Source organism: Homo sapiens, chromosome 9 (assembly GCF_000001405.40).
Source record: "Homo sapiens chromosome 9, GRCh38.p14 Primary Assembly".
Classification (NCBI taxonomy): domain Eukaryota; kingdom Metazoa; phylum Chordata; class Mammalia; order Primates; family Hominidae; genus Homo; species Homo sapiens.
This window is the reverse complement of record NC_000009.12, coordinates 111,703,127-111,717,986: the sequence shown is the minus strand read 5'-3', so window position 1 is coordinate 111,717,986 and position 14,860 is coordinate 111,703,127. Positions and strand designations below refer to the sequence as shown.

Below are 14,860 nucleotides of genomic sequence, written 5' to 3'. Positions count from 1 at the left end.
GTCCTTAACACTGTCATCACCTAGAAAAATAGGTTTAGGATTCTCTAATCTAGCAGATTTGATTGTATAATCATTATCATGCATGACTTTTTAATGTGAGATTTGACATTTTGTCATAAACATTTTGGGTCCTCATTGCATTTTTGTGGCTTTGAGTCTTTGCTATGTAAAATATAACTATAAGGAGTAAGATCTTTTCCAATTTCTTTTTTAGTCATGTCTATATTAGTATATGAATTACTTGGGTAATAAAATCAAACTATTTTGAACATATTGGAATTTCTAAGATTTTGGAATTTTTTATAACCTATCAAATTAAAATGTCTGTCTTACTACATTACTGCTTTAGGCCCCTTATTGCAAGATTATTTAGACTTTTTTTTTTTTTTTTTGAGACAGAGTTTTGCTTTGTTGCCCAGGTAGGTGTGCAGAGGTGTGATCTCACTGCAACCTGCAACCTCTGCCTCCTGGCTTCATGCCATTCTCCTGCCTCAGCCCCCCAGGAAGCTGGAATTACAGGCGCCCGCCACCATGCCTGGCTAATTTTGTATTTTTAGTAGAGACAGGGTTTCACCACGTTGGCCAGGCTGCTGTTGAACTCCTGACCTCAGGTGATCCACCCGCCTTGGCCTCCCAAAGGGCTGAGATTACAAGTGTGAGCCACCACACCCAGCCTAGACTTGTTTAACAATGGTATGTTTATGGAATTATGTTTTATAATTTAGAGTTCCTAGAACCTATTTCAAACATAAAGTAAAAATAAATTTCCTCTGATCTAAGACCCAGACATTTTCTCTTATTTATGATCCAGACATAAATATTATTTTTCTAATCCAAAGTTTTGGTAAATATTGAACAGCAGTGAATCATAAATGTACTCCCTCTAAAGCAGTGGGACCTCAGATATTCTAGATTCTGAAATTCTGTTTTAATATCATGAGTAATAACCAATCTCACTGTTTGTAGAGCTAGCAATCTATTATAGAAGCTGAGAAGCACAATGAAGTCAGGTGACTAAATAAAAGGGCATGTGACACTACACACTTATGCTTGTTTAGGTACTGTAAAGTAGGGTTCTTAGCCCCCAATCCTTACTTGTCTGAGGATGGAGACAAGACAACCTGGTCCAGTATCAACATTCAAGTGGTTTAATTGAAGAAGAAAAGAATAGCACCATGTTGGGCTTTCTAAAGATAGCTGTAGTTTAGTAATAATACTTGGCCAAGTGCATAATCTAGACAAGTACAGTATGCTCAATACTTACCAAAGCCTTGGATTAAATAAATAATATTCATGGGCTGGGTGCCATGGCTCACGCCTGTAATCCCAGCACTTTGGGAGGCTGAGGTGGGCGGATCACCTGAGGTCAGGAGTTCAAAACCAGCCTGGCCAACATGGTGAAACCCTGCCTCTACTAAAAATTCAAAAATTAGCCTGGCGTGGTGGTGCACACCTGTAGTCCCAGCTACTCAGGAGGCTGAGGCAGAAGGATCACTTGAACCCGCGAGGCACAGGCTGCAGTGAGCCAAGATTGCGCCATTGCACTCCAGCCTGGGCAAAAAGAGTGAAACTCCGTCTCAAAAAAAAAAAAAAAAAAAAAAAAAAGGGAGAAAAGAAAGAAATAATATTTATGGAGGTTGGCTTAAACAATATTTATCTTTAAGTAGTGTAGTCTATAATTTACCCTAGTTAAGTGAGACCACTGAGAGCTTTATACTTGGACTGAATTCTTTCTGTTCCTCTAAGACATGCAGTTACTAAATCATACTTTGGCATTACTATTTATCTACCTTAAGGAATACCATAAAAGTAAGATTCTTGTTGGAAAACTAACTTCTTAATCTCCAGGTATCCAGCCATACGAATAATGTAGTTGCTTTGGACATTTTTAGTAGAGGGCTTTCTCTTTCCTCTATACCTCTTGAAAGCCAAGATCAAGTTAGGTTGTCCTTTCTTTCTCTCTGTATAATGGCAGAGGAAAAAAAAAATCCACGGAGGTCTGGCTGCCAGAATTCTGTGTTTTCTCCTAGCTTCCAGTTTGCTCCCTCTCCCAAGCTGGCAAGGTAGTGAGTTTTAGGTTCAAATAATAGCGTTTCTCTTCTGGGCTTTAACCCAGAAATAAATTCAGTATTTATTATGGAATGTGATAGGTATTACAACAGAGATATATGGTAGTGGCACAAAAGATGGAGACTATTATCCTTAAGATGGGTATGTTTTTAAAAAAATAAGTAGAAGTTTGCCAAGTAGATATAGTATAAAAGACTATTCTAGGCAGAATTAAGAGCCCAGAGGAATGTACCAGTGGAAATGTTGCCAACAGTTCCATGTGGTTAGATTGAAGAGGACAAGTTAGAAGGCAAGCAGGAGCTAGGCCTGGAGAAATAAGAAAAAGCCAAATCATGGAGAGCCCTTTAAGCTACACAAAAGAATTTCAGGGATGCTACTGGATTACATTTATTTTTCAAAAGGTTAATTCTCATGGCAATATGGAGAATCAGGGGGAGGTCTGAAGATGAGGCAGAAAGAACGTAAGTCAGTCTCTAAGTTGCCCATCAGTCTAGCAATTTTAATATAAAAATAGAATTAATATGCACACATACATAAAACTTGTACATAGACATTAAATTTTTTAAATTTATTTCATTTGTTACCCAAATTTATTATTTCATTTGTTACCCAAATATTCATTAAACACCTGATCTACATAAGTTACCATGCCAGGTGCTCTGGTGGTAACTCTGGTGAAATTCAGCAGAATCACACGGAGAGCTTTTTAGACATAGAAATCATTAGGACATAATCTAGATGTACTGAATATGAACCTTCAAGGATGAATCTATGTTTAAAAATGCCCTTAGTGAGCCTGAATGAGGCACTGCTGTTTTAGCAGCCATATGAATTAAATATGTATAAATACCACATGTTCTACCCTGAAAGAGCTTATAGGCTAAGTGATATACATAAATAAGCAGATATCAAGTACAAAAGTTGTACGGATAAAATACCAAGAAAATTCCACTTAAGTAGCAGTTCAACAGGACTTCCATGTAAATATAGATCCTGGGATTTAGGAAGAGTGCAATAGCATTCAACAAGCCAGGAGGCAGGATAGGTTATGTATTTAGAGAGTGTGTAGCATATATTAATGTACATATGCAGCTTAAAAAGAGTATGTGGTACATATTTTTAAGCTTCACTCAGTTTTAAAGTTTTTATTAGTGTCTTTGATCAAAATCAGAAAACAATTAAAGGAAATTTTAACTGTCTCTGCTTTGACTTATTTTCTTTAAGCCTTTTTTACCACGGAGTTTCTTAAAAAACAAATACTTAGACAATTTTTTTCTAATTTTGCTTCAATAGGATATTTGTCGAAGGCAAAAGATATCTACAACAGCATTTTAGGCCCCTATTTGGGTGACATTTGGAGACAGCTGGAGATTGTACAGTTTATTAGGGGGAAAAAGCCTGAAACCAACTACAAGATACAAGAATTGCAATGTCAGATACTAAGTTGGATGCAAAGTCAACAGCAAATTAAGGTTAAGTATTGGAATAAAGCCGGTAAAATAATCAGTTTAAGTAAGAATTGGATGTAAGATACATTTTTGCATTTAACTTTAAAATTATGAAGTAGTCTATACTACTTAGTCCCTTGATGGTTTAGTCCTTGAATAAGGTAACAGAACAGAATCAGACCCATAGAAAGGATGATTTGCATCATTATTCATGTCTCAAATTTAAAAATACTTTACCAGTGTGGGCAACATAGTGAGACCTTGTCTCTATAAAAAAAATTTTTAAATTAGCCAGGCGTGGTGGTGTGCACCTGTAGTTCTACCTATTAGGGAGACTGAGGTGGGAGGATCTCTTGAGCCCAGGAGGGTGAGGCTGCAGTGAGCCATGATTGTTCCACTGCACTCCAGCCTGGGCAAAAGAGCCAGACCCTGTCTCTAAATAAATAAACAAACTTTAATTTTTATTATGCATAGTTTTCCTAAGGATTGGTTCTCCAATTGTCAGAAATTTTGTCTAGTACTTATATAAGTCCATGAACGTATACATAATAATAGAACTCAATGATTTATTTTAAAATACCAAGCCAGAATCTCATATGATTCCACCAAAACAAATATTTAGTTTATGCCTTGGATTACATTCACAATTATTTGCCTACCCTACATCAAGCATATAAAGGTTGCATTAATGAAGTTTTAACAGAAATTGCTTTTTAAAATCTTATCAAGCAGAAAAGCATTTCAAATAGTTTACACTAAAAATCCAGATATAAACTGTGGCCTTTTTCTGATTTTTCGTTCTGTGCCTCCTATTTCTTAACCGCAACTTTATAGTCTCTTGGGTAATAACTTTCTTAAGTCATTAAAATAATTTAATCTAAGTGAGAAATTTTAAATCGAAACTGATTTGCTCTCCCACCTCTCCCCCACAAAACTGTAATGGTAAGTAGCAAAATATAGCAGCAGATCACGGGTTTTCTCCAACAAATTTAAACATGTGAGTTGAATTTAACACTAACAGAGACAACCTATGTATTGATAGTCACATATGTGGGAATACTTGAAGAATGCTAAGAATGCCCTATCCCAAAATATTTTCTTCACTGATATTTGATCTTACCAGAATATATTCCTTGAGTTTAAGTATTGACATTTTTTACAACAGAAATATTTGCTTTGTAATCTTATTGTCATTAGTTTCATAGAACCAATTAAAGTTTGTTATTTTGTCACTGTATCAAAACTGTGAAAAAGAATAATCATCCACATATATATGAAATTTTTATTTTTGACTAGGTACTGATTATAATAAGAATGGACTCAGACGGTGAAAAACATTTTCTCATTAAAATTCTTAACAAAATAGAAGGTAGGCAGTTTTAAATTATGCTTCATTTGATAACAAATGCTTGAACTTATAAAAGTGTATTGATCTAACCAGCTTTTAAAATTAAGACATAATTAACATAGCATGAAATTCACCCTTAGAAAGCGTATAACTCATTGGGATCTAACCAGCTTTTAAATCAATCTGGACTATAAGTTTGCAGTACAAATACACTACAAGGTGTTTATATGTATTTGTTATTACTAATAATTGACACTTTTATTGATTGCCTACTAGTTGCTAAATAATATTAGCTACTTACAATTCTATGAATAGGTTTTATTAACTCAGTTTTACAAATAAAGAAACTAAAGTTCATGCTAAAGGTGATGTAGCATGCCAAATCTCACAGGTAGTTAGGGAGTCAGGATTTGAACCTAGGACTCTCGTTTTAGTATCATTCTTCAATTCTCAATTCTTCAGTTCTCTTGTCTGTTTTCCTCACTTACTACACTTTTCTACCCACTACTGCCCCTTCTGTCAACCCTTTCCACTTGGTGCTGTAGAATCCATTGCTTGTTATGCAAACTCTGCTCTTTCTTCATCTCCTTTGTGTTAACTGAAGCCCAACTTTCTCCGCATGATACTACTTCCTCTCATATAAAAGCTGATAATTTTCTCTACATATATACCGCATAGAGATGAGAAAGCCATTTCTTACCTTCCATTATCATTTTCAAAACATTATTCCTCCTCCTTTGAGGCTGTGCCATATTGCCATACCATTCTCTACCACTTATCATCTACTAACCACCTGGTTATTTCCCATCATCCATGGACAATTGTGTACCTAGCTCATGGTATTCTTTACACTTCTAGTCCTGTCATTATTCTAGGTGTCTTTAATGTTTCTAATGTGAATGATTCATTCAACACCCTGGCCTTATAGTTTCACTGGCCTCCACAACAAAAATTATATTCATCTTCAGTTCCTTGGCTATTCCATTGAACTTGTGATAATGCAGAACGGTCCTACCTCTGAACTTTAAATTCTGATACATTGCTCTTTGTCTATACCTATAGCTCTTTCATGATCTTCAACATCTTAGAGATCTATAATCCACTAGCTACTTTTTTGTTTCATCTCCTTTTCTTTCCAGACTCAGTGATTTGACCCATCACTTTAATCAGTCTTATGCTTCTATTGTACTTTTCATTTAAACCTCAACCCTGAATCAATCAATTCATTTAACTTCTCTATTCCTACACCTGAGATGCTGAGCGCTATTGGAGAGAATCACATAGTCATATAGATTGGTACTACTACAAACTCACAAACTCATGCCCTCTAAATTTACCTGGGCTCTTAAGACGTCTTAACAATCTTTTTATATATTCTTAGTTCCACTCCTATTTTCTGAATGACTATACAAAAAACCCCTACTATATTACCCATCCTTTCATTTTTTGGAAGGGAATTGTGCCTTCTAATTTTCATTAATCATTTAAGTATCCTCCTCAGTTTCCTTCCCTACCATTGTTGTAGAAAAACCAGGCTCTTGTCACATGACCAGAAAAGATTAGGCTCGCAGACACTTTGAAGAGTAAGGAGCAGAATTTATTTGGTAAAAAAGAAAAAACTCAGCAAAGCGAGAGGGGTTCCTGTTAATAGACCCCCATCTCACAGATTGAATCCCAGGTTACCACACAGGAAGAGGACAGGAGAGGATCCTCCCTCCTGCAAGTGGCAGGAACTTCCCAAGGCCTCATCCCGTCTTCCCAGTGCGCAGGTGTGCATTATTCAGAAAGAATCAATTAAGAAAGGTTGGGCTTCATCCAGGACCAGCAGTCTGGTTTTTCAGCCTTCAGGCTGCTTTAGGCTTGAAGAAGGGGTTTCGCCGGGGGACCATTGGCTGCCTCCTGTCTCTATCACCATTTACAGACTTACCACTTACCTGCATTTCTCTCTGTTCTTTATCCTTTCCTCTTTTCTCTATAGAAATGAACCTCCCTTTGAAGACCAATCTTTCACTTGTGCTTTGGATACCATCTCCTCCTGCAGTCTCAAGCACTTTGTTCCATCAGTTATTTCCTAGCCCAACCTTTCTCTCTAATTACTCTTTTCCTTAATGTTTAAGCCCTTCAGTCTTAAAAATAAAATAAAACACCACTGTCAACCTATGTCACCCTTTGGTTACCGTTTCTCTTCCCTCTATAAGCTGCATCTTTTGCCATCTTCATCTCCTAAAATAGTTCTTTACTCTTACCTTACCAAACTATCATGCTGTTTCATATCTCTATGCCTTTATACCTCTTGTTCCTGCTATAAGAATATTCTTCCCCCTTTGTTAGGAAGCTAACTCCTACACATTTTTAAAAAATTAATTAAAACATTTGTTGAGGAAGGCTTGATTTCAATGCTTTTCCTCTGTGCTCTCAGGCCATTATGTGCATACTTCTAAGGCACCACTTCCCACCCCAGGCTATAAGGGTGTTATCACCCTTAGAAATGATCCTCTTATCTGTTTTCCTCACTAAAATGTCTGCTTTTGGGGGATTCAGATCATACCCTAATTTTTATTCCCAGCACTCAGGAAAATGCCCACAACATAGAAGGCACTCGATAAAAGTTTATTAAACAAATGAATGTGCCAATTAGTGCCTCTCTATATACGTAGTACACACTAGAACTAGTGAAAAAGACTGAACCGAAATATACAAATATAGCCACATAGATCTGCTCATCGGTGCAGGAAGTTAACTAATATTTTAAATTATGGTAATGTGAGAATGGAAAGGTCTCTCAAGCAGAGTCTTATAAGGTGCTATTTCTTGACAAAGTTATCATGTATCTAGAGTCTAGATTTGTAAACTTGGATCTTATTATTTCATTCAGTTTTCCAATCCTGGGAAGATGATTTGTATCCACCAAATTCATAAGATCCTTACTAGTACCAAAATGTTAGAGCAATAGTTAACAGTTATGGGGCTGAGACTACCACAGTTGTCTGTAATCAGGGTAATTGGAAACATTTTTTTAAAAAATCAGGAAAGTGCTGAGCAATGTTTGCACTATAAAAGAAAGGGACTTGGATAACCAAAGGAATATTTTTGTGAAGAACCTGAGGAAATATGCCTGCTCCACAGAGAAGAATATTTAAACCTACTCAGTGGGACACCTTCTCCTTTGATGTTACTGAAGATACACTGACAGATTTTTTTTTAGTTTTAGTTTTTGTGGGAACATAGTAGGTGTATAAATTTATGGGGCACATGAGATGTTTTGATACAGGCATGCAATGTGAAATAAGCCCATTATGGAGAATCCCCTCCATCCCCTCAAGCATTTATCCTTTGAGTTACAGATAACTCAGTTACACTTTTTACTTTAAAATGTACAATTAAGTTATTACTGACTATAGTCACCCTTATTGACAGATTATTACTCTGTATCGCATATCTGGGTTTCATGCTGAATACTCCTGTCTCTTTTGGCATTCAGGATTATGTAATCAATGAGCTTATTATCTTCATTTCAACAAGGTCTACTGACACAAAAATTTTGAGTCTATAAACTGGAAGATGTTTTTACTCTTTTTCAGAACGGCAATTATCTTCAGTTTCTGGAAGCAAGGCTTTTATTTTTCTGCCTAGTGTTGGAAAGTAAAAACGTAGTTCTGTTTTCTATGCGTTTGTAAGATCTAGTACTGCACTTACCAAGTAATTAATCTGCTTTGGGATCATAGCGAATACAATCATTTAAGCAGATTAGGTTTGTTTGTTTTTTGTTTTGTTTTGTTTTTTTGAGTTTCACTCTTGTTGCCCAGGCTGGAGTGCAATGGCACGATCTCGGCTTACTGCAACCTCTGCCTCCCAGATTCAAGCCATTCTCCTGCCTTACCCTCCCGGGTAGCTGGAATTACAGGCCTGCGCCACCATGCCCAGCTAATTTTGTATTTTTTTAGTAGAGACAGGGCTTCGCCATGTTGGCCAGGCTGGTCTCGAACTCCTGACCTCAGGTGATCCACCCATCTCTGCCTCCCAAAGTGCTGGGATTACAGGCGTGAGCCACTGCACACAGCCAAATTAGGTTTTAAATAGAAGAATCACCTTATGAATTATAAAAGAGAAATAGTACTCACTTCTTATCACTACCAGAACTATTGTCATGTCAAGTAAAGTTATATGAAATTATTGACCATTACTCTCATTATTATTATATCACACCTTCGTCAACTTTATGGTTGAAAAAATACACTAATAGAGTATATAATTTATTTGAACTAGAATTAGCCATTCTTGAATCAATTATGTCTACCAAAAATAAATTGTGTGGATGGGTACAGAATATTTTGAAATTTATTATATTTTGTTTAAACATTAGTAAAATAAGAAATTTAAAGTATGAGAAGCAAGAGTGAATCTAAGAAACAGTTCCCAATAAGTGTTCTGCTTCTAAATACTCAGTAGAAAGAGAATAAAGGCATTCCTATTACATTGAAATACAGTCTCTTATTTAGTTATGTACTTAAATTTTTGGCTAGAGAACAAAGATAAAATCCACCCTGATATTTAGCAAAACAAAATTAACTGCACAGGATTGGTGAGTGTTTAATTTGCTTACTTTAAAATTAAGTTTCTATGGGGTGCAGTGGCTCGTGCCTGTAATCCCAGCACTTTGGGAGGCTGAGGTGGGGGTTCACTTGAGGTCAGGAGTTTAAGACCAGCCTGACCAACATGGTGAAACACTGTCTCTACTAAAAATACAAAAATTGGCTGGGCGTGGTGGCAGGCACTTGTCATCCCAGCTTCTTGAGAGGCTGAGGCAGGAGAATTCTTTCAACCCAGGAGGCGGAAGTTGCAGTGAGCCAAGATCGCACCACAGAACTCCAGCCTGGGCGACAGAGCGAGACTCTGTCTCAAAAAAAATAAAAAATAAAAAATAAAAATTAACAAAAATAAGTTTTTAATCAATTTTATTATTTTATATAATAAATTTAGAATTTCCATGCTCTATATATACACGCAAGAGAAATATTGGTTATGGTTCAAAGTTTCTGATATGCTAAACTTAGAAAAATAATCTAGCAAATTGTATTTTAAGCAGTTTTGTTATTCACAGATTTTTAATTCATTTTTATGGTAGTGAAATATATGACATACCAAAAATATGTATCTGAACAAGACACTGAAAAAAATTATTCTTTTTTCCAACAGGTTTAACACTGACTGTCCTTCATTCAAATGAAAGAAAAGATTTTCTGGAATCTGAAGGTGTTTTAAGGGGGTAAAAATTCATTCCTTCATCTGTGAGGAACAAACGTACCAGTTTCACAGGAAAAGCAAAATCTTCCTAGAAGTTAACTTTAAAAATTTAACAAAATCTGAAATTAAGCAATGCCTCTACCCTCTTCCTGAAAAATGCTTTACATAGGGCACTTTAATTCTGATCATTGTCCTGTGTATTATATGTTATTGGCGTCCAGAAATGTAATTCAATCTTATTTTAATATCCCCAAATAATAATAATAATATTGTTATTGTAGTACAGAAGTGCCTATTTAGAGTATATTTGTACCAGTTTCTTTGCTCAGCATTGTTTTTTACATCTTCTTTCTTCAGGGTTCTCCTTCCTGAAGTATATCCTTTAGAAATTCTTTCAGTAAGGGCCTGCTAATAATAAATCAAGTGTTGAATTGTGTAAAACTCTTTATTTTGCCTCATTTTACATAGAAATTATTTTTTTTCAAATATTGGGATCCAAATAATTTTAAAAATGTAAATCAAATAGAAGCCCATAAAAACTGGACATAGGTACTTTTTAACTTCTAGATTGCTCTAGATAGCAGCAATAGAGAATTTTAATTATAGTAGGTGGTATGTTTTATGAGATTTGAAAATGTTTATGAAATTTTATTAGAAAAGAAAGCTAAATTTATGATATTTAAGTGTCCATCTTTTTTGTTGTTGTTAAATCATTTATGAAGCCCATTAAGAAAAAAAAATCCCATTTTAAAGTTGCCAGATAATATCCTATTATGTAATTATCTAAGATTAAGACCTTATATTTGTAAGAAAATGAGACTGATTTTTCATGCTGATTTCTCTTATTGATAGTACTCAGGTAATAAAATCAGGCTGTCTCCCATTTGAGGATATGAAATAGGTTACAGGTTTTTATATCCTGGTATAAAAATGTATGATCATTAAGAAGAAAAATATAAAGAAATTAACACTATTGAAGAGCAAATCAACAGAAAACGCACCAGTGCCTTTCTAAGATGAGGCATAGATTAGAGAAGGATGGAACAGCCAGAAAACAGTCATCTTTTAATAGTTCAACAAAATAATAACACAAGTATAATGCCATTTTCTTGGCTCTCTTTTGTCTTTAGTACAAGTTCCTGTGTAGTTGTACATAATCAATATATTGGAGCAGATTTCCCCTGGAGTAATTTCTCATTTGTGGTGGAATACAATTATGTGGAAGACTCTTGTTGGACTAAACACTGCAAAGAGTTGAATATTCCTTACATGGCCTTTAAAGTGATTCTTCCAGACACAGTTTTAGAAAGTAAGAATATAAGCCAAAATCCTTTTTTTGCTTTATTAGAATGAAAATTTTCTATTTTTTGTTTATGATTTATAGATAAAAATAAGCTGTGACATTAGAAGCCTTGAGTTCAACCTCTAACCCCACCACTATCTGTGTGACCTGGGGTAGTCCTTTAACTGTCTCTTACCTCGTAGTCCTCATTTGTAAAGTAAGCTTTACTAATTATATGTTTTCATTCCTTTATCTAACTTCTAAATTTTACTTATAATAGCACAATTTTATTACATTTATATCCAATCTTAATCTGATAGCTTTTATGCAATAGTATTTTTATTGATTTTTAGGGGACAGTTGTGTAATAGTATGCTAACTGATTCAGAAAATTTTAATGTGTAAAACAAATTATCTACAAATACTTAGAAGAAAGTCTAAACCACTTCATACATCACTTTATTTCTTTGTATTTGTCAGTCATGACTAAGGCTGTGAATTCTCAGATCCATAAATCTGATACATTTTGAGTATAAAATGCACTCAGTGTGAGAGTGCATCTCTCTCAGTACTTGCCATCGATTATTTTCTATTCACCTCAAATATGAGTGGGAAGTCTAAATAGATTCTGAGACATTCCAACTCATTTCTAACAATACGGTCACCATAATGGTTTATTTGGAATTGATCTTGTGTAACTATTCTTTTATAAATTACCTGTGTATATCTTTTGACCATGTATCTATTGAGGTATTTATTCTTTTCTTATTGATCTGTAAAATGTTTTCCCTATGGGTTATTGCACATAATTTAAAATCTTTATGTAAATCAGTATATATTTAATACAGCACATGCCCAATATATACTTAAGTGAATAAAGCAAGTTTCAACATTTCAGGTAGAGAATGACCCTATTTTTTCTCTTTATTGAAGTGAGTGTACATGTGTGAGTATAAGCAAGAAAATATACTGAAAAAAGTCTGGAAATATATGCAAAACTCTGTTTTTAGTGTATAGTGGTATTAGTAAACTCTATTAACTTATTTCTCGGTAGGATAACATGGTTTTTATTTTCTTCTTCAAGCCTGTCTTTATTCTGTTTCTGATTTTTTACATTGAATATTATTTTTATACTACTCCTACTTATCCTCATGTTTAGTAAAAAAAAAAAGAGAAAGAGCTGGGAGATGAGAATAAAAGAGAAATATTTATAAATTTTCTCTTATTTAGGAAGCACCTTGCTGGATAGATTTGGAGGTTTTCTTTTGGAAATTCAGATTCCATATGTGTTTTTTGCATCTGAAGGACTTCTTAATACTCCAGACATACTTCAGCTGCTAGAATCCAAGTAAGTTATTGATTTCACAATTTTAACAAAAGTGTACATTATATATATATGTGTGTGTGTGTGTGTGTGTGTGTGTATATATATTCTGATAGGCTAAATATTATGCTGTATATGTGTCTCCATGTGTCTGTGATTCAAGCCTGGAATTATATCACAAAAGAATAGTTTTCCAGAGAGTTTATATCAATGTATACTTCTTTCCCTATACTACACCCTCATAATTATTGAATATTATATTTTTGGGTAATATCAATTTTATGGACAAAAATAATATTTAATTTTTGTTTAAATTCATGTTTTACTTGCATTTCTTTTGTTACCAGCAAATATGAACATTTTGTGTGCTTTTTTCTGTGAATTATATGTTCATGTCTTTGAGTCATTGATAATATTGAGAATGAGTATTCTTGTTTATAGAACTTTACTGCCTGGGAAACAGGACCGTGAAGTTCTAAATGAATTCTCAAGGTTTTAAATCTTTAGATCTAAGGTCATACCAACATTAGATGTTATAAAATCGTAAAACACTTTATCATAACACACAAGTTGTCACAGGAATGTTGGACCTTGGGCTCCATGTCAAGGAAGGATAATTGTACTGTTACCTTAGTTAAAATGCAGATGTATGTTCCATGCTTTTGTTTTTATGCATTAAGGCTGTGGAGCATTCATAGGAAACTATGAGCTTATAAAAGGTAGTTAAGGGCATGATGGTATGTACCTGTAGTACCAGCCACTTAGGAGGCTGAGATGAGAGGTTCGATTGAGCCCAGGAATTCAAGGCTACAGTGAGCCATGATAGCACCACTGCACTCCAGGCTGGGCAACAGAGCTGTCTCTAAAAATAATAACAATATACAGTAATAAAATAAAAAGTGCTTAAAATGTAAGCCATTTTTAAGGAATAAAAAAAGGAAATTCTGATAAATGCAGAATATTTTAGTCCCATAATGTTTTGATTTCATGAATTATTATTTAAAGAGCTGGAATAAATTGGTCAAAACATTTGTAATAGTGTTACGTGCAGTAACATTTAGCACAATGCCTAAGGCAACACACATCTCAGCTGATTTGTTTTATATACTGAAAAAATCATAACTTTATTCTTCAAATTTTATAAAGTAGAACAAATTGACATGTAAAAGAAAAAGCATAGAAATCCAAATAACTTAACATGCAGGAGGGAACTACAACTTTTCTTAAATAATTTTATTAGCATTTCATTTTTTCACTCAAGAATATTGTATTTTACAGCTATAACATCTCACTAGTAGAGAGAGGCTGCAGTGAGTCATTGAAACTCTTTGGAAGTTCAGAGTGTTATGTAGTGGTGACAATTGATGAACACACTGCCATAATTTTGCAGGTAAAACTAGGTAGAAAATATATAAACTAAAATAGACTAAAATATATGGCTATGTAATTTGTTATTATCTTTTCTGTAGGAAGTTTAACTATATTAGTGATTTCTTCTAAATTTTGCAAATGGGCCACAAGTGCTAAAATCGTCACTGTGGAAAATGACTATTATCAAACTTCTCTGATGCCTTATAGCTTTTTAACATACTTTAAGAAGATAGGGCAAATAAAGAATATTTAATATTGTATATTAACCTATTTTAAGTATATTTATAGAATAATTATAGTATTGAAAGCTTTAAAAAAGCAATTTCCAGCCACTTTTATTACAAGGAGATAGTGTATTAATTGATGATTGATAATATTGAATTTCCAATCATTCATTGCATTTCCAGTGTAAACAGGAGTTGTCTCTAAGTAAGCTAGTTTTTAGAAAGAGAATTTCTCTTCAAAAATTCATATAGTTTGGAATTTTCTATGTATAAATTCTTGGGTGAATCTCCCTGATATGTTTGCTTGATCGGAGAACCAACTGAAAAGAAATTAATTTATTGGGGTGGGAGTGGGAGCAGAAACCAGGTTTGATGATATGCAGTATAAATATTGCTATATATTAATGGCCAATATGTGTTTTGATAAGCAAATGTTATAAGAATTATATGATGGAAAAACACAACTCTATTAGAGATTTTTAAGAGATACTGTGTCTTGTATATTTAAAGTTCTTAAACAATATTTTTCTGTTTGGCACAACTGTTTGT

General features: G+C 34.2%; 1 protein-coding gene across 16 annotated transcripts in view; it reads left to right on the top strand.

Moving 5' to 3' along the window:
- The window catches only part of SHOC1 (shortage in chiasmata 1), a 108,767-nt gene that overhangs the window by 76,951 nt on the left and 16,956 nt on the right, over positions 1–14,860 (top strand). For 13 of the 16 annotated variants that reach the window (XM_017014340.2, XM_006716975.3, NM_001378211.1 and 10 more), the window contains 6 exons: positions 3,364–3,542; positions 4,815–4,887; positions 10,063–10,132; positions 11,241–11,419; positions 12,623–12,740; positions 13,995–14,106. In XM_017014340.2, coding sequence (XP_016869829.1) covers positions 3,364–3,542; positions 4,815–4,887; positions 10,063–10,132; positions 11,241–11,419; positions 12,623–12,740; positions 13,995–14,106 — 731 coding nt within the window. The remainder of the gene's footprint in view (positions 1–3,363; positions 3,543–4,814; positions 4,888–10,062; positions 10,133–11,240; positions 11,420–12,622; positions 12,741–13,994; positions 14,107–14,860) is intronic. The other 3 variants (NR_109816.2, XM_047422868.1, XM_047422867.1) reach the window with 1 other exon arrangement.